Raw genomic sequence first — 26,324 nt, 5'->3', positions numbered from 1 at the left:
ATTAAGAAAATGTGGCACATACACACCATGGAATACTATGCAGCCATAAAAAACGATGAATTCATGTCCTTTGTAGGGACATGGATGAAGCTGGAAACCATCATTCTCAGCAAACTATCGCAAGGACAAAAAAACAAACACCGCATGTTCTCACTTAGAGGTGGGAATTGAACAATGAGAACACACGGACACAGGAAGGGGAACATCACACACTGGGGCCTGTCATGGGGTGGAGGGAGGGGGGAGGGATAGCATTAGGAGATATCCCTAATGTTAAATGACGAGTTAATGGGTGCAGCACACCAACATGGCACATGTATACATATGTAACTAACCTGCACATTATGCACATGTACCCTAAAACTTAATGTATAATAAAAAAAAGAATGACATTGGCTAGCAAATTTAAATATATATTGTTTAATCATTTTTAAAAAATTATTTTAAATAATTAACCATGCGGCGCTACACAGGAAAATTTTACACAAACTATAGTGTTCATGGGAGTAGCTAAAGAAGCACTGTTAATAGTAGACACACTCCTATCTCTTGGGTAGAATCAAAACTATTTGAAATGAATAAATTAAAAAACCACCAGGCACATTTTCTTTAAGTATTGGGGCTTACATCTGATAAACAGAAAAGTACCAATTACTCCCTTCAATTAAGTACAACTGAGTCCAGTCAACGCCTTTCTCTTCTTGTCCACTGGAAGTATTAAAACTCTGAGAGGCACTTAGGCTTCCAAATTCCCTTCCTAGGGCTCAGAAGGAAAGATTTGCTAACTTTTTCACAGGATGACATGTAATTTCCTCCCACAGAAACTTACCTTGATAAACAATGAGGTCATTCTCTCTGAGGTATTATAATACCTTGACACACCGTGAATCATTCTGATGGCATTAATCAAATTTTGTATTCCATGTGCCATGGAAACCTAACATTGAAACAAATTAAGTGAATTCCATCATATGCATATAGTTTTAATAACCAATATTCTATAATACTCAAAACTCTAAAGGTACACAAAATAGTATAGCATTTTTAGCTTAAAGTCAAATTTTACTAAATCCAATGCAGTATTCTAGACTAGACCCTGGAACAGATAACAGGACATTAGTTTTGACAAACAAACTAAGGTAATACAGGATGTTAACAGGAGAAACTGGGTAAAGAGAATTCTGTGCTATCATTGCAACTTTTCTGTAAATCTGAACTTAAAAGTTTATCTAAAATTAAATTTTAGAGGTGAGAGCCATTTTAAGGTTAATAGTTCATTCTGCTCTTTTTAAAGGTGAAGAAACTGATACCTTGAGGGGTAAAGTGACTTTCTTAAGGTCATAAGCCCAGCTAAAATAGAAATCAGACTAGCATTCATTTTCTTTTATGCAACTCAGTTCGTGTTTTAGCAATCCTACCAAGTGCCATTAGGCTCTGAAGATATTGGAAGAAATCCAAACCTATTCATGAGTAGCTCACAACAGAGCAGAAGAGATAAACACAAACAAGTAAAACAAGTAGAAAAAGGTAGAGCAAAGCAGAACAAGTACAACAAGGATATAAAACAATCCTGAACATAAACTGACTGCTTACTATATTCCAGGCACTAGGCTAAGAGCGTTAGCATATTATTCTAAGATATGCTGACAACAACCCTTGAAGGTAGGTTTGATTACATCAGATATAAAACATCACGGATTGTAAGATTGCACCATTATTTTCTGTGCTATTAAGAAAGAAAAAAGACACCCAAGATGAGGAATCTAACTCCTACATAATACTAGGCCACCAGTGGGTCCTCCCTGTTAAGGTAAACATGAAATAAACCAACCATGGAGAAAAAGAGAGAAACAAAATGTACATGCTACCAGGAGGAGGAAAGAAATCAAACTTCTTTGAGAATGTATGCACAGGTACTCAACTGCAGTCTGAATTCATACGAATGGCACCAAAATCAAAAACAAAACAAAACAAAAAAAACACCCTCAAGGAGAGAACTAATAATTTAAGGTAGTATCAAGTCACATCCACAATGATTCACAAAACCTAACTGACTAAAGTATGTCCTGAGTTCAGGGATATTAAAATGTGAAAAAAAGTCTTAGAATCTATAAAATAAAGTATTATCATTATTCCCATTTTGCAAATGAGAAAACAGAGAGGTAGAGAAGTTAAGTCCCTTGCCTAAGATCCAACAGCTGTAAGTTACATAGTGGAGATTTTGAGACCCTGCTTCTAACCGTGATGCAAATCACTACAGGAGAACAGACAAAGCCAATGGCATCCCTCCCTTCAAGGAACTTTCCTTTTAATTGATAAGACAAGATAAAATATATAAAATGTGTTTTTAATGGTGATGGAAGAAATACAGCCAAGAAAAACAACTACCGATTACTGTACGGTATGTCCTAGGTGTGGGGTATAACTATGGAATAATTAAATCAGTTTTATGTGGCTTATGGAAATTAACACCATTACTTTATAGTTAACCTTCTAGGCCAGAATTCATATTATATATGGTATCTGTAGATCAAAAAGATCCTAATAAAAATATGCCTAGAAAGAGTCCCTTCCACCCTTCCTAAGTCATGTCTACAAAGTACCACTAAACTCCAATAAAGAGGGCTCAGGGATGGCATCAAATGGGTCCTTCAGGAAAACGTCCTTCATCTGAACTTTAAACATCATTATTTACAATAGTAGCTCCTTGAGTGCACTGTTCTTGTCCATCTATATACAGTGCTCAGATATCTCATATGTCAAACATATAATAGTAAGATATGCCTAAAGCACAATACCAGGGTGATTAAAAAAATGAAACATACATAAAACTTATGAACCAGAAATGGAAGCATGAATCCCCTGCACTTTTCCTACCCAAATGACAGTTATAAACTAAACAGCAATTGCTGGTTACTTTTAATCAGAATAAAGAAAATGAGGGGGAAAAAGGAATTGTTGAAAGTACAGATATAGTGGGTGTATGAGTGGGAAGCAATTATATGACTCAATGCTATTAGTACTTCTGTCATTTCAAAAGGTGATGCTTGAAACCTTCCTACATCAGAGAATATAAAAAGCTCAACAACAACAAAATAACAATAATAAGGCACATCCATGGTTAGAGTAATTGAACAAAGCTTTTTAAAATTACTAGGATGAAAAAAACATCAGAACTAAATGATTTTTAAATTATATGAATTAAAACAAGTCTTTTGAATCAAGAAGTTGAAATCAGTATACCTTAAAATTTGGAGTCTTGATAGCAATGAAGAGTATTCTTTCTTTCAAGTTTACTTTTTATAATAAAAAGCTTTAAATATATAGAAAAGTACAGAGAAAAATATAATGACCACCTACTCCCATCATTAGATTTGACAAACGTGAACGTTGTGCCATATTCACTTCATCTATTATTTTTTCACATCAAGAGCTACTTGCGGTAGCCCTGGAGTAGGCTTTAGGTATTATGTGTATTTCATATTTGCATCTTCAAATCTTGTGAGCAATCTGAAATGCTTGTGACATGTAATAATTTTAATTTTTCTTGGACAGAAATTTTAATTGCTCACATTGTAAAGTTGGGGAATTAAGTCATTGAGCTGCCAAGTAAGCCAAGCAAAGGCCTTACTTCTCCAACACCATATACAATTTGATTTTCTTTACTTGGGGTCACGTGCACAGAAATACCTAAGAAATAGTATAAATGTTCTTATATTAAACAAATTTTACAAAGGTTCACAACACAAGTCCAGCTACTAGTAGCAGGGGTAAAAATGAGAAGAATGAAGTTTAAGAAAGTCATAATTCTTGGTGGGGAGGAAGGGAGAGAGGTGTGAGCTGAAAAACTTCCTATTGTGTACTGTACTCACTACCTGGGTGACAGCATCCATACCCCAAACCTCAGCATCATGTCATATACCCATGTAACAAACCTGCACATGTACCCCCGAATCTAAAATAAAGCTGTAATTTTTCAAAAAGTCATCTCTTTGCAAATAATACTAATAAGTTTTAAATAAAATCGACAATCTCTTTATGGACTCAATTAAAAGACTCTGCTTCTAAAGTCTTCCTGTCCCCTCTCATGGTGCTCCCTGATGGATAATGGATTCCTCATGGCAGTAAGAAATGCACTTGTCCAAGACTCTCAACTGACATTTTTCCCTCCCCTTTCATATTAAACTTCTTGACTACTAACACTCTCTTGGAAAGATTATAAACTGCCTTTACACCTCCTTCTTCTCCAAGTCTAAGTGATATAGGCCATAACCTCTTTCCTTCTCCCTGCCTCTGGGATGAAACCTACATTGACCCAAGAAGGTTGGTCAACAAAACCATGTGGCCAGTGCTGCCACCTATATGGAAGATTTGACTACTTCTTAAAAAATTAGAGTGAAGAATACTGACACAGATATCAGACACAAATTAAATTAATTTGAAAGTGTTGGGCCCGATGGCTCACGCCTGTAATCCCAGCACTTTGGGAGGTGGAGGCGGGCAGATCACTTGAGGTCGGGAGTTTGAGAGCAGCCTGGCCAATGTGGCGAAACCTTGTCTCTACTAAAAATACAAAAATTAGCCGGGCATGGTGGCATGCACCTGTAATCCCAGCTACTCAGGAGGCTGAATCAGGAGAATTGCTTGAACCCGGGAGGCGGAGGTTGCAGTGAGCAGAGATAGCACCACTGCACTCCAGCCTGGGTGACAGAGAGAGACTCCATCCCGGGGTGGTGGGGTGGGGGGAGGAAGGAAAGAGGAAGCATTTCAACTTAGAGAATACCTTGAAGAAGCAACATAGTAAAGTGGAAAAATAATACAACCCATAATGCTACAGATAGCTAGATTCCAATTTGGTCCCATCACGGATCATCATAGAAATGTTCAAACTCGGTTTCCTAATCTTTGAAATGAGGGTCATTGTGCATAGAGAATGAAAACATATTTAAAGCATGTAGCACAATGCCTATAACAAAAGTTCAAGGATTCTCAAGCCTGGGAACATCTTTAAAAATGCAGCTGTCTGGGCAGCCCTCCTGCCTACAAATGATTTACAAAAGAAGTAATATCCAGGAAAAATGGGGAAATCCTGCTCTAAGTTCTCAATAACTACTAGCTTCCTTGACTTCTCCTTCTATTAAATAAAGGATAGAGATTTTTTTAATTTTCATATTTTATATGAAATATTATGAAATACCAGATTATAAATTTGAAGTTAATATAAACTTCTAAAAAATAAAAGCAAATGGTAGTGCTAACATGTTCTTTAAAGGATCTCTATGGAAATATTATGAGAAGAGTAGGCTAGAAATTAGAAGATGGGTTCTGTCCTGCATCCCTGATTAGCTGAGTGATGCTGGCAAAGTCACCTCACCATGATGAGTTTTGGTTTCCTAATCTGTAAATGGGGAAATATCTACCTTGATAGGCAGCCCCAAAGATGGCCCCAGTGATGCTCACCCACATAGTACTCACACCCTTGTATACTCCCCTACCCACCCAGAGTGAACCAGATTCACTTGCTTCTAGCCAATAGAATACAACAGAAATGATGGGCTGTCACTTCAGAGATTAGGTTATTAAAAGAAGGTAGATTCCAACTTGGGTGTTCTCTCATTCTCTTGCTCACTCTTGGAACACTCACTCCAAGGGAAGCAAGTTGCCAGGTGGAGAGGCCCACGTGGCAAGGGACTGGGGCCTTCCAATAACCACATGAGTGAACTGAGAAGAAGACTCTCCCCAGTCAGCCTCCCCCACTTAGCCTGTGGGCAACCTCATGAGAGACTTTGAAGCAGAAGCTCTTAGCTATGCCTTGCTTGGATTCCTGAGCCACAGAAACTCTGACATGATGAATGCTCATTGTTTTTAAGCCACTCAGTTCTGAGGTTATTTGTTATGCAGCAAAGTATAAGTAATATATTAATATTTGTCTTGCACATACTATATTAATGATTCACTATATATTTAAATATGGGTTAAAATATTAAATATAGTTTATCATTCTTCATAAACACATAAGAGGAAAATGTATATTTTAAATAACTTTTGGCAGGATGTTTTTCCCCAATATACACATATTAAAGATTTTTAATGCATTAATTATACAAGTCAGTTTCTTAAATTGTACTATTTTTTTTTATATAGATGGGGTCTTCTTGCTCTGTCACTCAAGCTGGAATGCAGTGGCACAACCATAGCTCACTGCAGCCTTGCACTCCTGGGCTCAAGCGATCCTTCCACCTCAGCCTTCTGAGTAGCTAGAATCACAGATGCGAGCCACTGCCCTCAGTTTAAAATTGTACTTTAAAAGCATACTTACTAGGTCATGGTTATAGAGAGGTTGACACACTTTTTCCAAAGTATACAAATATCTGACATTATCTTTGGATTCATTTGCTGTATCAGTGATTCTTGCATCCAAATCACGCCAATTCTAAGAAAAAAAGGTATAAGAATTCTATGAAACATCCAAATATATCAGTGTGCTAAAGTTTACTCGGGAAATTCAGTCTTCCCTAATCATACATATACTAAAATGGTAGATATTTAAGTGTGATTAATATATGTTTTTCTTATAATACTTGAGACAAAGTTACAACAAGCACCTTAAATGAATTACTAAAACTGAAGACTCATTCTGTTTGTAATTAAAATCCTGTCTGTAGGCTTGAACTGGACCTGCTTCTAACAGGAATGACTTTTTCAGGTTAATTATTTGTGACATTATATTACTCTGGGTCTTCAAGAATGGGTCAAGTTATTAAAACAGAACATTATGGCAGGGCGTGGTGGCTTACGCCTGTAATCCCAGCACTTTGGGAAGCCAAGGTGGGCGGATCACAAGGTCAGGAGATCGAGACCATCCTAGCTAACACGGTGAAACCCCGTCTCTACTAAAAGTACAAAAAATTAGCTGGGCGTGGCGGCGGGCGCCTGTAGGCCCAGCTACTCAGGAGGCTGAGGCAGGAGAATGGCATGAACCCGGGAGGCGGAGCTTGCAGTGAGCCAGAGATCGCGCCACTGCACTCCAGCCTGGACAACAGAGTGAGACTTTGTCTCAAAAAAAATAAAAAATAAAAAAGAACATTATTCAAAACAAAACCTTACTAGCAAAGTGAAGTCAATCTGAAATCAACAGTTTCTTGTAAGTGGTCATCAAATAGTACCTGCTTAAATAACTGATTATGAGAAAGTTCTTCCTGTAATCTCTGCTCATCTGTATAGTTTTGCATAATGGAGCCTAGTGAACACACAGCAACCCTTCAAATGTTTGAAGACATTTACCATATCATCACTAAGTCTTTTATTCAAAGATGAGCAATCTGTGTGCCTTTAGTCATTTAATTAGACATTGTCTTTTTTTTTTTTTTTTTACTTTAAGTTCCAGGATATAAGTGAAGAATGCGTAGGTTTGTTACATAGTATATATGTGCCATGGTGGTTTGCTGCCCCTATCAACCCCTCATCTAGGTTTTAAGCCCTGCATGCATTAGCTATTTGTCCTGATGCTCTCCCTCCCCTTTCCCCGCTGACCCCCTGACAGGCTCCAGTGTGTGATGTTCCCCTCCCTGTGTCCATGTGTTCTCATTGTTCAACTCCCACTTATGAGTGAGTACATGTGGTGTTCGGTTTTCTGTTCCTATGTTAGTTTGCTGAGGATGATGGCTTCCAGCTTCATCCGTGTCCCTGTAAAGGACATGATCTCACTCCCTTTTATAGCCATATAGTACTCCATGGTGTATATGTGCCACATTTTCTTTATCCAGTCTATCATTGATGAGCTTTTGGGTTGGTTCCAAGGACATGGTCTTAATAGCTTCAACCTCTTGGCCTTTCTACTTGGGACACACACAACATCACTCTAAATACATATGCCTCAGGAATGAAAGGAAGCCTTCAGTGTGATCTGGTCAATGCTGAGAAAAGCCAAAACATCACCTTCCTTTTTCCTGGAAACTATACCTCTCATAAAGCAGCCTAGGATCAAGTTGACTTGCATCAGTAATATCATTCTATCAATGGATTCAACTAAAACTGTTAAGTCTTTATCCAAAGTTGATCAATTTCTCTCCTTCAAATTCTTTCAGGATTTTTAACCTATTCTCAATAAATGTTATATTATTATTATTATTATTATTATTATTATTATTATTTTGAGACGGAGTCTTGCTCTGTCACCCAGGCTGGAGTGCAGTGGCACGATCTCAGCTCACTGCAAGCTCCACCTCCTGGGTTCACGCCATTCTCCTGCCTCAGCCTCGCAAAGTGCTGGGATTACAGGCGTGAGCTGTTATCTTATTATTAACTGACCACTCTTACATACTAGGGATGATAAAATCAAGTGCCTGCTTGAGAATTGGTCAGAGATGAAGAGAGCATGAAATGGAGAGGTCTACTCAGCAAAAACAGAAATAATATGCTCTGAACAAAACCATTTTGAAAAACAATGGGAGCCAAACAGTTTGTCAACAAACCCATCCAACAAAGAGGTTGGGATATCAGTATGGCACCCCCACTCTTACCACTGAAGACCTTCTTGGATCTTTACATTGTCATCCAATATATTTCTTTCCCTCCCTCCTCAATGTCATTCATAGATTTGCTACCACATTTGCTTTGTATCCTTTCTAAAGACTAGAGATTAATATTTTTAATACAAAATGTCTGAAGGTCACTATGGCAGATCATTAGAGACCTCTCTCCAAGAGCTTAAATTGTATATGCCTTTGATCCACAAATTCATAAATTTTCTCCTAGGAATATGCCTTAGAGAAATTCTCACACATGTGCACCAGGAGACATGAATAAGAATGTCCTTTGAATCATTGCTTGCAATAACCCCAAACTAGAAACAATCCAAATGTCGATTCTGGGATAATAGATAAATAAATTGTGGTGCATTCATGCAACAGAATATGATACAGCAATAAAAACAAAGGTAGCAAATGAATAATAATGCACACATTAACATGATGAATTCTCACAAATAATGTTGAGTAAAAGTTGATTGCAGAATATATGATATGACTCCATTTACATACATTTCAAAAATATATAAAACTAAGTCTCAAAATTTGGTATTTTGGAGAAAAAAACTGTATAAACTTATTTCAAAATGTGTACCAAAGGATGAAAACATAGGAATTGTTAAGACAAATCTGGAAAAGAAGAACAAAGAGTAGATGTACAAAAGTTATGATGATTACAAGAAAATGACAAACAGTGGCTGAGCGCGGTGGCTCACGCCAGTAATCCCAGCACTTTGGGCAGCCAAGGCGGGCAGATCACGAGGTCAGGAGTTCAAGACCAGCTTGGCCAACATAGTGAAACCTTGTCTCTACTAAACATACAAAAATTAGCTGGGTATGGTGGCATGTGCCTGTAGTCCCAGCTACTCAGGAGGCTGAGGCAGGAGAATTGCTTGAACCTGGGAGGTGGAGGTTGCAGTGAGCCAAGATCGCACCTCTGCACTCCAGCTTGAGCAACAGAGTGAGATTTTGCCTCAAAAAAAAAAAAAAAAAAAAGAAAAAGAAAAAAAGAAAATGACAAACAGTGCCCAGAAAATTAGCCAGCCATTTGGGAAAAAGAATGCTAGCTCAAGAGGTAAGTGCATGACCTTATATCCTGCTTCCCCTCCAACTAACTCTGTGACCTTGAACAAGAAACTTAATCTCTCACTGTTCTATATACAAAATGGGGAAGATAATAATAAGATCCACCTGATCCAGCTGATGTGAGGATTAAATGAAATGTTATAGGTAAGATACTGAACACAACGCTTGGCACATAGTAAGCACACAATAAATGTTAGCTGCTATTATTATCATTATTATTAAATCTTACATGATTCACACAAATAAATTCCAAGTTAACTGAAGAATAAAGTATAAAGAAATAAAACCCTAGAAATAGAAGAAAAGGGCAATTCTATTTTAAATTTAGGTTAACCTTAATTTATTCTTCTTTTTTTTTCTTTTTTGAGATGGAGTCTCACTCCCAACACACAGGCTGGAGTGCAGTGGCACAATCTCAGCTCACTGCAACCTCTACCTCCCGGGTTCAAGTGATTCTCCTTCCTCAGCCTCCCGAATAGCTGGGATTACAGGCATGCACCACCACTCCTGGCTAATTTTTGTATTTTTAGTAGAGACGGGATTTTGCCATACCGGCCAGGCTGGTCTCGAACTCCTGACCTCAGGTGATCCACCCACCTCGGCCTCCCAAAGTGCTGGGATTACAGGCGTGAGCCACCACGCCCAACCAATTTATTCTTCTTAAGAAGGTATTTTTAAACAATACATGAAAGACAAAAGCAATAAAAGGCTGAAAAAATTAATTCATCTAAATATAAAAAAATTCATTATAAATGATTCCATTTTAAAAAAAAATTAAAATACAAGCAACAAATAAGCACATCTGGCAACCAGATTTTGGTTCCTAAATACTACTCTCCAATAAAATAAACCCAGGATCCTTGGAGAAGTGCTGATCCCAGGACTAGGGCAGAACAAATACAAAATGAGCCTTAAGCATTTATCTAGTGTTAGAGAGTAAAGAAGTGGTCCAAACAGAGTAAGGGAATCAGAAGGAAACACACAAGCCAACCTGAAAGATTTCCCGATGGCCAAAGAGGAAACAATTTGAGCAACAAACTAAATAATGATAGTATTCGATTATAACCAAAAGCATGAAATAAATACCCATGAGGCTATATTAATGAAAATAAACGATCAAATACATAACTACAGTGAGAGAAGAGACAACATTTTCTTACATAAGAATTCTGATTAATAAACGTGGAAGGAATGAGGGAACTAGAAAACCACCATTGGCATAACACAGTAATGACGGCCGCAGTCAAGACCCACCTATGAAAGCTATTCATGTAGTTTAAGGTTATTTTCCACAAAATACGATACGTGTACAGTACAGAGACCTGGCAAATTCCACCCTAACTAAATGATCAATTTTAAAACAGTAATAAGGCACATCAATATAATGGACCGCCTGGTAAGTCGTACTGGGAAGAGCACATCAACTCTGGCATTCTTACCAAAGATGCATAACCTCAATGTATTCACGAGAAACCATCAGACAAACCCAAATTGAGAGACATTCTCCTAAATAACTGACCATTACTATTCAAAAGTATCAAGCTCATGAAGTATAACTACAGACTAAGGAACTGTTCCATTGGAGGAGGCTAAAGAGACATGACAGTCAAATGTAAATAGGATCCTGGATTGGATCCCAGAACAGATAAAAATACATAAGTGGAAAACCTGGAGAAGTATAAATTGTGTGTAGCATCATTAATAGTATCGTACTAATGTTACCCCTTCATTTTGATCATTGTACAATAGTTTTAAGATGTTAACATTAGGGGAAGCTAGATGAAGAGCAGGCAGGAACTCTCTGTACTATCCTGGTTGACTCTTCCATAAGTCTAAAATGATTTCAAGTGTTGAAGTTTTAAAAAATACAAGCCACAGACTAGGAAAAAGTTTGCATTGTAATTGTCAAAGTGCATATGGGGGTCTGGGATTTTACCCTGCTTAGAAGTTAATGCATTAGCCTTTTATTGTTTTATGGATGAAGGGAGAAAACATGAGATTTGGGTTCAGAGACAAGGATTTTATTACATCACAGCAAATGGCATGAGCATTAAGTTGCATTTGTTCCCCCATGACCCTAAATATCCACACACTGATGCTTGCACCTGCAGTAGGTTGTGTTACAGGTGAGGAATACTGAGTTTAGGGGAATTTATCCTTTTTACAGTAAGCGGTAAGTAATTCTGCTCTTTGTCTGGGGGACACGTGAACTGACCCCTCAAGGTTGCTCACTGCAAACACAACTCTGAGAGATGTTCAGATAAAGAGCAGTATGGGCCTTGCATTCTTTTCATATATAGTGAAAATGTGCAGAGATGCCCAGGAGTCATAGTGAATTACTTCATCCAACAAATATAACGAGTGATTAATATCCATATTATATAAAGGACTCCAAGTGGCCAGGCACAGTGGCTCACGTCTGTAATCCCAACACTTTGGGAGTGTGAGGCAGGAGGATTCCTTGAGCCCAGGAGTTTGAGACCAGCCTGGGCAACACAGTAAGATCCTATCTCTATAAAAAAAATTGTTTAAAAATTAGTTAGGCACATTGGCACATGCCTGTAGTCTCAGCTACTCAGGAGGCTGAGGCAGGAGGATCACTTGAGCCCGGGAGGTCGAGCGTGCAGTGAATCATGATAGTGCCACTGCACTCCAGCCTAAGTGACGAAGAGAAGCCTGTCTCAAAAAAAATAAAAAATAAAGAACTCCTATAAATCAGTACAAAACAATGTCTGAATTTTTCTAAATAAGGGAAAGATACAAAAAGAAAATTCACAAAAGAAATATGAATAGCCAGTAAGCAGCAAAAACTGAACAACTTCACTACTAACAAGGAAAGAACAAAATAAAACAAGCCATTCTCCATATGTCAGGTTGGCCCCCCAAAAATTTTTTTTTAGTTTTTTTAATGAGATAGGGTCTCGCTACATTGCCCAGCCTGGAGTGCAGTGGCTATGCATAGGCATGATCCCACTATTGATCAGCACAAGAGTTTTGATCTGCTCTGTTTCTGACCCTGATCAGTTCACCTCTCCTTAGGCACCCTCATCACCCCACTCCTGGGACATCACTACTATATTGATGCCAAACATAATGTGGACAGCCAATCAACATAGTGCACTACAGCTCAAAATTCTTGAGTTCAAGCAATCCTCTTGCCTCAGCCTCCCAAGTAGCTCACACTACAGATGTAGGCCACCATGCCTGGCAAAAAAATAATAATAATAATAACTTAACTGATAATTAGTACTGAAAAGTTGTGGAGTGTCCAACCTAAGGAAATATTTGCATATGGACATATAAAAGCTTCAACTGCAGCAATATTTATAAACACATAGAAAAGGAACCATTTTCCTTAAAAAGTTAAGCATAGAGTTAACATGTGACCCAGAAATTCCACCCCAGGTATAATAACCAAGACAAATGACAATATATATCAACACAAAAAGTTGTACAGTACATGAATGTTCATAGCAGCGTTATGCATAATTGCCAAAAAAACAGGGACAACCCAAATGTCCATAAACTGATCAACAAAATGTGGTATATTCATACAACAGAATATGATTCAGCCATAAAAAGGAATGACATACTGATACAGGCTACAACATGGACGAAACTTGAAAACATTATGCTAAGTGAAAGAAACCAGTAACGAAAGGCAAAGAATCTATGATTCCATTTATATAAAATGTCCAGAATAGGCAAATCTAGACAGAGGGCTGGGGGGAAGGGGGAATGTTGGAAATGGGAAGGTGAGAGCTGAAGGATATAGAGTTTCTCTTTGAGGTGATGAAAATGTTCCAAAATTGGATCGTGGTGATATTTGTGCAACTATGAATACACTAAAAATATCTGAATTGTTCACTTTAAATGGATAAAATAAATAGTATGTGAATTATAACTCAGACTTGCAAAAAAAGAAAGGGGAAAATTGGTCCACAAACAGGGAAATGATCAGATAAAACCTAATATGCTACATTAACATTTTGGGCAAGGCACAGTGACTTACACCTGTAATCCCAGCACTTTGGGAGGCTGAGGTGGAAGAATCGCTTGAGCCCAGGAGTTTAAGACTAGCCTGGACAACATTTTTAAAAAATTATTTAATTAGTCGGGCATGGTGGCATATGACAGTAGTCCCAGCTACTCAGGAGGCTGAGGTGGGAGGATGGCTTAAGCCTGGAAGGTTGAGGCTGCAGTGAGCCGTGATCATGCCTTTGCACTCCAGCCTGGGTGACAGAGTAAGATTCTGTCTTTAAAAAAAAAAAAAAAAAAAAAAAAAAAGCACAACAACAACATTTTTTTGGAAAACCATACCGCTCAAGCTCGATCTAACAGGCATAACTCTCCAAGATATACTATCAGGGGTGGGGAAGGGAAGTTGAAAAATATTATGCTATGACATTTATTTAATTTAAAAGTTAGAAACACAAAACTAAACTATGTCATTTGTGCATAGTAAACTCACACATACATACCACAGAAGATGTTGAGGAAAAAATAAAATAGAAAAGTGCAGTTGTCTTTCTGTGCTTACTATTCAGGACACAGAGTTGTGGGTGGTGGGGCTAAGGGTATGTGATTAAGAGAGACTTGTTTTATTCGTACTGCTTAAATCTATTACCAAAAAAGTATTAGTTTATTTTTCTGTGCAAAGAAAGAAATACATTTAAAGAAAGAAAGAAAAAGAAGCCAGGTGCGGTTGCTCACGCCTGTAATCCCAGCACTTTGGGAGGCTGAGGTGGGCGGATCACTTGAGCTCAGGAGTTTGAGACCACCCAGAGCAACTTGGTGAAACCCCATCTCTACAACAAATACAAAAATTAGCCGGGCGTGGTGGTGGGGCATGCCTGTTAGTCCCAGCTACTCAGGAGGCTGAGGCAAGATAATCGCTTGAGCCTGGGAGGTGGAGGCTGCAGTGAGCTGTGAACACACCATTGCACCCCACCCGAGTGACAGAACGAGACCCTGTTTCAAAAAGAAAGAAAAGAAAAGAATCTAGAATCAAGCCAAACTGTAAATAAAGATGACCTCTAGGAAAGGAGGTAGAATCATGGGGATGAGATGTACTTTACTTTTGACTCTATATGCAGTTGTTTACCTCAGTGAGCCTATATTGATTTCTTCATTGATTTACAATTTCAAAAACAATTTAAAAATAAAAGATGATCACTTTCCTAAAAATCACCCCATAGTAGTATGGTCAAAATTGGTCTGCGAAATCCTGAGAAATAAATCTTCATTTCCTCTTCTGGAAATAACTGTGATATATGTAAAAGCCTTACTCAAAGGCTAACACTTCTAAACACGATTCCAGTATATTATACTAAGAAGTAGTTCAATAGGATAATTTTCTAGTTGCTTGTTCTGAAGTATACCAAACTTTAAATAAAAAGCCTTTTACCTTTAGCAGTTTGGAGTGTGCAACATTTAGCACATTTATGACAGCCTTACAACTTGGCCCTTTAATCTGCTCAATGATATAGTTGAACTTGGCTGACATGCGTTTCCAGTGTTCCAATTCAGTGAGTGGACCTGAATCACCAGCTTCTTTTCTCATCTGCTCACTCTCAATAAGTACCTGCAGTCAAAAAAATTTATAAAATATAGAAATGTTACATTCTTCTTTGTTAAAATCTGATTGCATCTTTTTGAAGGCAGCTGAAAGTATAAATAATGTTCAATACCAAATAATGTTTAAAAACTCTCAGTAAATGAAGACTAGAGGAGAATGTCTTCAATATGATAGATACTATCTACTAAAATTCTCCAGCAAACATAATATTTAAAGGTGACAGTTTCTCTTATTTATTTTGGGTTTTTTTTTTTGGTCGGGGGGGAGGTAGTTTTTTGGTTTTGGGGTTTTTTTGTTTGTATGTTTGTTGTTTTGAGGCAGGGTCTCGCTCTGCTGCCTACGCTAGAGTGCAGTGGCACAATCACAGTGCACTGCAGCCTTAACCTCCTGGGCTGAAGCAATCCTCCCGCCTCATCCTACTGAGTAGCTAGGACTACGGGCAAGTGCTACCACAGACAGCTAATTCTTAATTTTTTGTAGAGATAGCATGTCACTATGTTGCCCAGCTGGTCTCAAACTCCTGGGCTGAAGCGATCCTCCTGCCTCAGTTTCCCAAAGTGTTGGGATTACAGGCATGAGTAACCATACCTGGCCAAAGGTGACATTTTAGAAAATATCACTTTAAAACCAAGGACATGATAAGTTTGCCACAATCACCACCCACTTCTATTCCACCTGGTAATAGATATCCCAGAACAAGGTAACTAAAGAAACAGAAGGCATTAAGAATTGGAAATAAAAAACCAAAAATGGCATAATCACAGATGATATAGTTTGCTACATTTTTAAACTAGCATATCTAAGGTTGGGAGCAGTGGATCCCACCTGTAATTTCAGCACTTTGGAAGGCTGAAGTGGAGGACTGCTTGAGCCCAGGAGTTCAAGATCAGCCTGGGCAACAAGGCAAGACCCCTTCTCCACAGAAATTTTTTAAATTAGTCGGATGTGGTGGTGCATGCCTGTAGTCCCAGCTACTCAGGAGGCTGAGCGGGGAGGATCACTTAAGCCCAGAAGCTGGAGGCTGCAGTGAGCTATGATCATGCCACTGCACTCCAGCTTGGGTGACAGAATGAGACCCTGTCTCAAAAAAAGAAAAGAAAAAAAAACAAAAAGACTAAAGACAAACTTTTTACAATTAATAAACGTGAGCAATTCAGTAAAGTTGCTAGATCTATACATAAAAATTAGTATCACTTCTTTACAAGCTATCTTGCAATCTGAAAATTTAATTTCCAAAAAGATACAATTTACAACAGCAAAGAAAAACAGTGATAAGATAACTAGAAATTAATCTAATGAAAGATATGCAAAACCTTTTTGGAGAGAATTTTAAAACTTATTTTACACACACAGAAGACCTACCTAAATGGGGAGGTATATCATGTTCATGGATGGAAAATTCAATTATACAAAGATGGCAGTTTTCTCTAAATTCATGTACACATTCAATGAAATTCTAATCAAAATCTCAATAGGGTTTTTCATGATACTTTAAAAATTAGTCTTAAAATTAATTTTGAAAAACAATTAGCCTGCAACAGTCAATGTAATTTTGAGGAAAAACAGAGAAAAGACTTGGCATGCCAAATGTTGGTTTAGTAAAACGCTACAGAATTAAAGCAGTACAGCATAGTATAAAAAATAAATAAATACACCAGTGAGACAAACAAAAGGGTCTAACAACTTTATATATGACAGAGGTTATATTACAAATATGTTAGAAAAAAATGGACTATTAAACAATTTAACAGAGAATCTTAAATCGAGACAATTGGCTAACTACAGGTACATGAAAAACACAAAATTAGATTTCTGCCTCCCATCATACACACACGCACAATTCCAGATGGATTAAACACCTAAATGTTAAAAATAAAATGGTAACATTTCTAAAAGAAAATGTAGGAGACAGGGTAAAACTAGAAAGAAAAACATGGAATTGAAAAGCATAATTATCAAGATAATAGTTACCACTAGGGGGAAGAAAAGCTGTTTAAAACTGGGAAGAGAAACGCAAGGACATTTTAAGGCGCTGGTAATGGTCTATGTTTTTTCTTTTCTTTATTTATTTATTTTGAGGCTGGGTCTCACTGCGTTCCCCAGGCTGGTCCTGAACTCCTGGGCTCAAGCGATCCTCTTGCCTTGGGCTCCCAAAGTGCTGGGATTACAAGCATGAGCCACCATGCCTAGCCATGTTCTATTTCTTAACTTGTGCAAAGGTTACACAGGTGTTCATTTTACAGTTTGTTCCTTTCATCATATTCATTTTTGTGTTATATTCACTATTTAAAATAAATAAAGAATTTAAGAGAATGCCTTTGTAACACTGGAGTAGGAAAGCATTTAATAAGTAAAATACAAAAAGCACAGAGTTTATATTTATAGTCACTGGGGATAGCTAGGTTGAGGCTGGATTAACATTTGTAATTAATATATTTATCTACATTAAAAACTTAAATTTCCACATGACTAAAGGCACTATACCAAATGAAACATGACACAATGGGGACCAACATAGGATTAATATCAGGAAAATATTATTTAACCTCCAAAAATGTAGTATGATAACATCAAGCCATCCAAAAAAATAAAGGGATGATATAGGCAAATGATATGAACAGGCAATGATATGGGTAAATGATACAGGTAAATGATATAAACAAGCAATTCTACACAGAGGAAACCAAAATAGCCATTAAATATGCTCAACCTCAATAGTATTTAGGGTAATACCAAGTAAACCAAGATATCATTTCACACTCAACATATTGGCAACAATTAAAAATCTGACAATTCCAAGTGTAACCAAAGATTTTTCAAAAAAAAATAGGAAGTCTTGGCTGGGCACGGTGGCTGCAAGAGTTATCCAGTGGGCAATTACCCATTTCAATAATCTAGTGACACCTGGAAGCAAATGCTGTGGCCAGCACTCTAGACCCTAGGGGAGTCCTCCAATTTTTGCCACTCTAACTGCACAGCCCTCCTCCTAACATAGTTCTAGAAAGGTAAAACTGGAAACGCTTTTCTGTACCTCCTGCCTGGTCAAGATTTTTTCCCCTTGATCCTCACATAACTGAAGATTTTCTTGTTTAGTTCTGCTGTCCTGTGCTGATGAACTAGAGATCTGGGGGGCGGTTCCTAGAATCCTCTTTCTGTTTAGGGCAATTATGTAATATCCGATTTTCTTTCACAGTGTTTATAGTGTAAGTTGGAGCCTCTCATAATTTTGACATATGTTGTATTCCTATCACTACTTTCCTTACTGCCAGAAAAAATTTGACCATAGAGCTGCAGGCTTGCCACTGTGATGCTGATGTGAAACAGCCTAGTCTGAACTTCTTTGACAGCACAGACAACTCCACTGATCGAACAAGAGGTACTTATTTAGTGTCTAGCACTCTGGCTCTTCACTGTGTCCTCTCCCTCTCTCTTTTATGGAGAGTATCAACAATTTAAACATTATTGGGGATAAATGTTGGCTATTCCTGATTCTTCATTCTTTCATTCTCAACCCATATTGTTATGGTTTCTTCCTTGAAGTGAGAAATATCTTAAAATTGATTTCAAATGGTCCACAAAGAAGAATGATTTTGCTCTAGACCCAAAAATTGGCTGAGTTTCAAACTAGATTCTGGAAGAAAGTCAAAGGAGACACCTCTTCCCTTTGCTGTTAGAGACAAAATACAATGGCTAGGATGCACATGAAAACTACTAGTCCAGATGCAATTGTTTGAGTCAATTCACCTGTTCGATCTGTTTGTACCATACCATCAGCACTTCCTCCAGCTGATGAACAGTTTCTGAGTTGCTGGCTGCAGCAGTTACTTCTTCAAAGGTGTGCAGTTTGGAAAAATTAACATTGTCTATTGTCTTTAACTTCACTGTTCCCTCAATACTTATTCTAGCACCTAAAAAGGAAAAAAAAGACATTTAATACTAATTTATATATTAAATATTTTAAATATATTAATAAAAATATTAAATAATATTTAATAGTAAGAAGTATTTAATGTCAATGTGTTAAAAGTCAATGTGTACTTTTAAGCTCTAATTACTGAAATGTTAAAGATCTAATACTTTACAGAAATATAATTCTAATTAATCATTAGATTATGACTTCATAATTTACTGATAAAATTGTACATTTTAACAATATGAAAAAATAAAAGTATAGATTTTTAAGAGTTCATAATAAAGTATATATTTTAATATGGTGAAAATTTTCATTAATATTATAGAAAGAGATTCCTCCTGCTATAACGTAAAATTAAAAAGAAAATATATCTTACTCCACCAAAGATCCTCAAAAATGAGTTCTAATGATTTCATTTCTTGCCTCTAAGTCTCATAATTACTTGGATTAACATCTTTTAAGATAGAAACTTTTTCTCTGTTTATGAAATATCTTAGTTAATTTGCTTCTTTTTTGCAATTTGCTAAACATTAAATTTTATACTTACCATCTAAAAATGAAAGATATCTGTTGATGGTTTCAGTGAAAATATGTTTTTCAGATTCTCCCTGCTTGGACTGGTTTAAAGCACCCCAGTTGTTTGTTGCAAGAACAGCTGGTAGAAATATATTTGCCAACATATCCCTAATTCCATTTAAGAGTCCTTTCGACGCATCCAGAACAGTAAAGAGCGCTTCCTGAAAGGGTGGAGTTTAAATGTTATTTTACATGCTAATCCCACTAAAGAACTGAAAAATCATAACCTGTTTTATATTGCAATAAACATAGACAACTAATACATTTTATAAACTATTAGGGAATCTTAAGTGGTTATGAACCTTAGAGTTCTAAAGTCAACAAACTTATATTCTGCCCCCAATTTAATTATTCCCATATTTGCTCATCAAAGTGATGTTTCATTTGATGCTTTAATTTCTGCATAGGAAAGGAACAATAGCCTGGAGCCTATTCAAGGTGAGGGACGTGGAACCAAACCTGCGTAAAGAAAATCCTCCGTTGAAAGTTGCCCTGTCCATGATTTTTTTTTTTTCTGGTGAAAAGCCCTTGCCTAGAAGTTTGGTGGAATAAATTACCAGCCGTAAGAAACCAAAAGCCCAGAAATCAAAAGCCCACCACCCATGCGTGACCTTTCAATTGATACATCTTAAGTGACTTAGAAATCCCAAGCCAGAAAATTAAGATTAAAAAACTTGTCTAGGGTCACAAAAAAAAATGATTTCTGGTTTTTTAACTGTGAGTGTGTGGCAATGAAGTATAAAATTACTACTCATACAGTTTGGTGTCGTCTTGATTCGTGTTAAGGTATCAGTAGTTTTTCCCACCATTGCTTCTGCGCCATCAGTCAAATGTCAACATTGGTGAAAAGGGCAACTAGCATCTTAGTATTCTGATGAAAATAGGTTTGACTTTAAGAACCACTGTTACACCACATGGCTCATCTGTGATTACATTTACTTAGTTCTAATGATGTAAACAAATATTTAGCTAAGTTAACTAGAATATAACTACGTTGGAAGAATAGAGGGATGGAGAAACAAGGGTCAGAAGGCAGAAAAAGAGCGAAATTATCACCTTCCAGAGAGAAAAGTCCACAGAAAATGTCTTTTTTTTTTTCTCTCACTCTGTAGCCCAAGCTGAAGTGCAGTGGCGTGATCTCAGCTCACTGCAACCTCTGCCTTGGGGACTCAAGCAATTCTCTTCTCTCAGCCTCCCAAGTAGCTGGGACCCCAGGAGTGCACAACCACACCCAGCTGATTTTTTGTATTTTAGTAGAGACAGGGTTTCACTCTGTTGCCCAGGGTGGTCTCGAACTCCTGAGCTCAGGCGATCTGCCTGCCTCTGCTTCCCAAAGTGCCGGGAGTACAGGGTAAGCCACTGCGACTGGCCACAGATAATGTCTAAACTGACAAAAGGAGCAGTCTGAGCATATTATTTAGAGATATACAGGTAAATAAAAGAATCCATTAAAAGGGTTTAATAGTTGCTTCTGGAGAATAGCATAGAAGTCAGTTTTTCGGTTATGAAAGACTTATACTATTTCATAAAAGGACTTTTTCTCTCTTTATATGCACACATAACTGAACTAAAACAAAAGCTAAATTATAAAAATGAATGGATGAAATCATGGATAAGTTGAAGAAAGAATTAATGAAATGGAAGGCAGATTGAGGAAACATCCATACATAGAGGCATTGTGGTGAAACTACAGGACTTTGAAGACAACAAGCAAAAGCAAACAGAAAGAAAAAAAGACAGATTACCTATGAATTACACTAACAGGAGTGCTCTCATCATCCACAAGAAATACCATGAAATATTTACAAGGGGTCAGGGAAAAATAACTGCCAACCTAAAATCTTAAACCAAGCTAAACAAGCTCTCTTCAAGCAATCTTTTATCATAACAGAAAAGGAACAAGATTAGACTTCAGTTCCCTTTCCCATTGTAAAAGGTATTAAGACTCTCTAAGAATAACAAAGAGAACTAATATTTGTCGAGAGCCTACTGTATGTCAGGCAATATAATAAGAATTTATTTATATTATCATTTAGTGTCACTACAATCTTGCCAGGTGTGTATTATTATTCCCAATTTAAGAACGTAGAGATCTAAGTCGCAGAAAGGATGAGCAACTTTCCAGAGGACACATTTAAGTGATTAGTCAGTGGTGAAGCTAAGAGGCAAATTTCGGTCTCTCTGGCTAAAATTCTTGCTTTTCCCATTCCATCATCCTGCCTTCCCAGAACTAGCTTAGCAATGTCCAGGCTCTAGGACAACTCTCCCTTCTTCTTTTAAAACTATAAAAGAGTTAAAATATTGAGTGAAGAGGAAGTTAAATAAAGTAACTAATACTTTGCATCAACAAAATTAAATGTGTTATTTGCACACCATCAAGAAATGAAATTTTCATGAAATTGAAAGCAGTATCTAAAATATCAATATAACTAAGCTCTATTACAGTCAATTTCTCAGTTTTTTTTAATATATGAATACATTTATTTTCTTGGAACTCAATTCAGTCCTATATTTAAAAAGGGAAAGCAAAGTAAAGCATAAGTGTGACTACAAAAATATATTCAATGTTTAACTATGTATTTGGGGAAATTTTTAAACATACCTCTTGAATAGTTTTAACATTTATAGCAACATCATTACGGCAACGAACAAAAAATATGCACAGTCCTTTTAGTTTATCCGGGGCTGCATTGTCTATATACAATTTCATCATTTTTGCCCCTTTAGTTGCTCCAGCAATAGTTCGACCACATTCTGAAAACAAAAGTCAAGAACTTAGCGTATAATCACACAACTAATCAAATGAGATAAGTTACTGTGGCTCTTACACTATTGTTTCCTGTTTTACTTTATTGTAAGAAGTTTTCAATACGGTCATAGAATAATTTTTTTGGGGGGGGGTCTACTAGAAGATGCCAATAATTACATCTTTTTTTTTTTTTTTGAGACAGAGTCTTGCTCTGTTGCCCAGGCTGGAGTGCAGTAGTGCAATCTCAGCTCACTGCAACCTCCACCTCCCTTCAAGCCATTCTCCTGCCTCAGCCTCCCAAGTAGCTGGGACTACATGCGTGTGCCACCACATCCAGCTAATTTTTGTATTTATTTTTTCTTAGAGACGGGGTTTCACTGTTGGCCAGGCTGGTCTCAAACTCCTGACCTCAGGTGATCTGCCCACCTCAGCCTCCCAAAGTGCTGGGATTACAGGTGTGAGCCACCATGCCTGGCCAATAATTGCATCATTTTTTTTTTTTTTAGATGGAGCCACTATGCCTGGCCAATAATCGCATCTTTTTTTTTTCTTTTTCTTTTTAGATGGAGTCTTTTTTTTTAGCTCTGTCTCCCAGGCTGCAGTGCTGTGGCACAATCTCAGTTCACTGCAACCTCCACCTCCCGGGTTCAAGCGATTCTCGTGCCTCAGCCTCCCAAGTAGCTGGGATTACAAGCACGCGCCATCATGCCTGGCTAATTCTTGTAGTTTTAGTAGAGACAGGGTTTTACCATGTTGGCCAGGCTAGTCTCAAATTCCTGACCTCAAGTGATCTGCCCGGCTCAGCCTCTCAAAGTGCTGGGATTACAGGCGTGAGCCACCGTGCCCAGCTAATAATTGTATCTTAAATTGCAGCCTCCTCTGGGTACCTTTCCCTGAACTCTGTACTTCTGTTCCTTTTGGCCTGGCCTCAGGGCCTTATACAACCTGTTCTCCTATCCCATCCCCAACCTTTTACCTACAAATTCCTACTCATCTTTCAGATCTCAGCTGAAATGCCACCATCTCAGGAAGCCTTCACTGACTCCCCCAAGAAGGTCCAGTTCCTGTACCAAATACACTCATTGTATCCACCTTCTATTAAATCCCTCCTTGAACTAATTTCCATGAAAATTAAACATTTAATTATCAATCTTTTTTAATTAGAAAAACTATTAAAAATATGAGAATTATGTTAGATAGTTGGTCACAATATTAATTTGCAAAAATCAACAGCCTTCTATTTGCAGCAATAGCCAATTTAAAATGTAATAAAAGAAATAGAAAATTGGCCAGGTGCAGCATCTCACACCTATAATCCCAGCACTTTGGGAGGCTAAGGCAGGAGGATTGCTTGAACCCAGAAGTTTGAGACCAACCTGGGCAACACAGTAAGACCTTGTCAATACAAAATAATTTTTAAAAATTAGCCAGATGTGGTGGCATGTGCCTGTAGTCCTAACTACTCAGGAGGTTGAGGCAGGAGAATCACTTGAGCCTGGGAGATCAAGAGTGCAATAAGCCATGATCATGCCACTGCACTCCAGCCTGGGCAACCTAGTGAGACCCATCTCAAAAAAAAATAAAAAAGGAAAGAAATAGAAAATCCACATCACAAAGCCACAGAAATGTTTTGTCTGCCCAGCCTTTCTTTTTCACGGGGGTTGGGAGATTCCTCCTGCCCTGTGATTCTGGAGGATACGAGTGCCAGGGCTCTGTAAAGGTGGGCATGTAAGAACTAGACTAATTAGACTCTACAAGAATATAAACCTTGAATGAATACACATAAAGAAAAAAAGGGATTTGAGAGATGGAAGTCTACTGATGAATCCTAAAGAAACTGCCCTGAAATCTGTGGAAATGCTCTATTCTTGTCCTTCCCGAGACCTGATTGTTCAACTAGTTCTAAATTTTGTTATCCACCTTCCGCCTCCCGAAACACTGCTTTCCACTCATATAAGCCAGACCTATTTCTGTTGCTTGCAGCCAAAGAACCCTGATACATGGTACGTAGCAATATAAGAGCCCAAATGCCCATTCATAGAGGCTCCACAGGGATTTACTACCCTCCCCTTTTTCTTTGCTAAGAAAACCTGACTTTGTCCCATTGTGTTCATCCCTAGAAAGAAAACTGCTCTCTCAGCCTCCCTGGCCCCCAGGATAGCCATGTGACACAGTTCTGTCTGATAAGACATAAGACAAGCTTAAGTTTTCCTGATGAAGAGGAGAGATGTGACCATCAATAGGGAATGATTTCTAAAAATCACAATGCAGCTGTATAATGGAATGTTATACTATAACGAATTTTTTGAATGAGGTAAATCTTTACGTAATGACACAGAAAAATGTCTAGGCTACCCTGTCAAATGCAAACACCAAGTCAAGAATAAAATGTATTATATAACCACATTTTTAACTGATAATAAGCATTTACATGTTAACACATGCACATAAGAAAGAAATGTAGGCTGGGTGTGGTGGCTCACACCTATAATCTCAGCACTTTGGAAGGCCGAGGCAGGTGGATCACCTGAGGCCAGGAGTTCAAGACCAGCCTGGCCAACATGGTGAAACCCTGTCTCTACTAAAAATACAAAACATTAGCTGGGCGCAGTGGTGTGCACCTGTAATCCCAGCTACTCAGGAGGCTGAAGCAGGAAAATCACTTGAACCCGGGAGGCGGAGGCTGCAGTGAGCCAAGATGGCACCATTGCACTCCAGCCTGGGTGACAGAGTGAGACTCTGCTTCAACAAAAACAACAGCAACAACAAAGAAATGTAGATGAATATTTACCAAACTGATAAATGTACTTTTGTAAGTAGCAAAAATAATGATTAAAAATATGTGTACCCTTTGCTCTGGCAATTTCCCTTCTGAGAATTTCTCCTAAAATTTATTCCTAATCCACATAGATTTGTATTCAGTAATATTCACTCAGGCATTGTTTCAGGGAGCAAAAAGTTGTAAACAACCTAAATTCTACTGAGAGATCAGTTTGGAAAATTACAGTTATATCAGCCTAATGAAATAAAATGCAGATGTTAACATTTTGATTGGATAAATGTATTTATTGGCATAAAGAAGACAATATTATCAAAATTAAACAGCCACTATAGAATAATATGTAGAATTGGATCCCATTTTTGTAAAATATGTATATAAACCAGTTATAGAGAAATATTCATTAAGGAGTTAACAGTGCTTTCTCCAACTGAGTGGAACTGTATTTTGCTTCTAATTATAGATATTTTATCTTTCTATAATTTTCAGCTATTGTTTTAATTTTTAACAAGTTATAAAAATATAGACCACACAATAATCCTCCTACAATAGGAACTGTGAGAGACAGAAAATCCACAAAGCCAACCTAGTCACTATTTGCGAGTTTACATATTTTATCGAAGAAACAAGACATATATTAAACAATTAGAGGAAGGTAGAAGAACACAATCAAGTACTATATTTACATGGATACTGTAAATGAGATAGGGATCTGGAGAACAGTGATGGCTATGGGTTGGAACACCCTGGGAAGGGCTCTGCTGGAGGTGTTCTGAAGGAGCCGGGTAGGGGATGCTGAGTGGAGAGAAGAAAGGCAATCTGAAAAAGCCAGGTGAGGAGAGAAAGGGAAAAGAAATAACTCTAGTATGCAGAAAACAATGAAGAGGGGCTTAAAAGGAGCAGCAAATTCACATCTGGAAGAGTAGGAGATCAGACTAGACAAGTACTGCGTGTCCAGATGACAGCAGGCCTTGAATAAATGAGATGTGGACCCAATCCAATAAACAGCAGAACAATAAAAGATATACTTGGCAGGAATACACAGTACGAATTTCAGAGGGAGAATCTGATTACAGAGATACTGGTTTTCAATCTGGAACACCAGGGAAGGCCTA

The 26,324-nt window shown here is 37.7% G+C and overlaps 1 protein-coding gene and 1 pseudogene across 10 annotated transcripts in view, besides 1 other annotated feature; both read right to left on the bottom strand.

Moving 5' to 3' along the window:
• The window catches only part of DNAH8 (dynein axonemal heavy chain 8), a 315,482-nt gene that overhangs the window by 273,884 nt on the left and 15,274 nt on the right, over positions 1–26,324 (bottom strand). For 9 of the 10 annotated variants that reach the window (XR_926078.3, NM_001206927.2, XM_011514319.3 and 6 more), the window contains 6 exons: positions 22,284–22,435; positions 19,653–19,842; positions 18,937–19,100; positions 15,022–15,198; positions 6,320–6,433; positions 830–937 (listed from right to left, as the gene is read on the bottom strand). Coding sequence is in view for 9 of the 10 variants with exons in the window: in NM_001206927.2 (NP_001193856.1) it covers positions 830–937; positions 6,320–6,433; positions 15,022–15,198; positions 18,937–19,100; positions 19,653–19,842; positions 22,284–22,435 (905 nt within the window). In the remaining variant the exon portion in view is untranslated. The remainder of the gene's footprint in view (positions 1–829; positions 938–6,319; positions 6,434–15,021; positions 15,199–18,936; positions 19,101–19,652; positions 19,843–22,283; positions 22,436–26,324) is intronic. The other variant, XM_011514320.3, reaches the window with a different exon arrangement.
• Positions 96–1,295: an enhancer, noted in NCBI's record as "P300/CBP strongly-dependent group 1 enhancer chr6:38723390-38724589 (GRCh37/hg19 assembly coordinates)". NCBI's record gives its function as "activates an origin of replication core promoter dependent on BRD2, BRD4, P300/CBP, MED14 and CDK7 cofactors, with strong dependence on P300/CBP, by STARR-seq in HCT116 cells {active_cell/tissue: HCT116}" and the evidence as "EXISTENCE:reporter gene assay evidence [ECO:0000049][PMID:35650434]".
• RN7SL465P (RNA, 7SL, cytoplasmic 465, pseudogene) lies at positions 12,523–12,823 on the bottom strand (annotated as a pseudogene).

Source organism: Homo sapiens, chromosome 6, assembly GCF_000001405.40.
Source record: "Homo sapiens chromosome 6, GRCh38.p14 Primary Assembly".
In the NCBI taxonomy this organism is placed as follows: domain Eukaryota; kingdom Metazoa; phylum Chordata; class Mammalia; order Primates; family Hominidae; genus Homo; species Homo sapiens.
The sequence above is the reverse complement of the archived record's forward strand: the minus strand, read 5'-3'. Positions and strand labels throughout refer to the sequence as shown.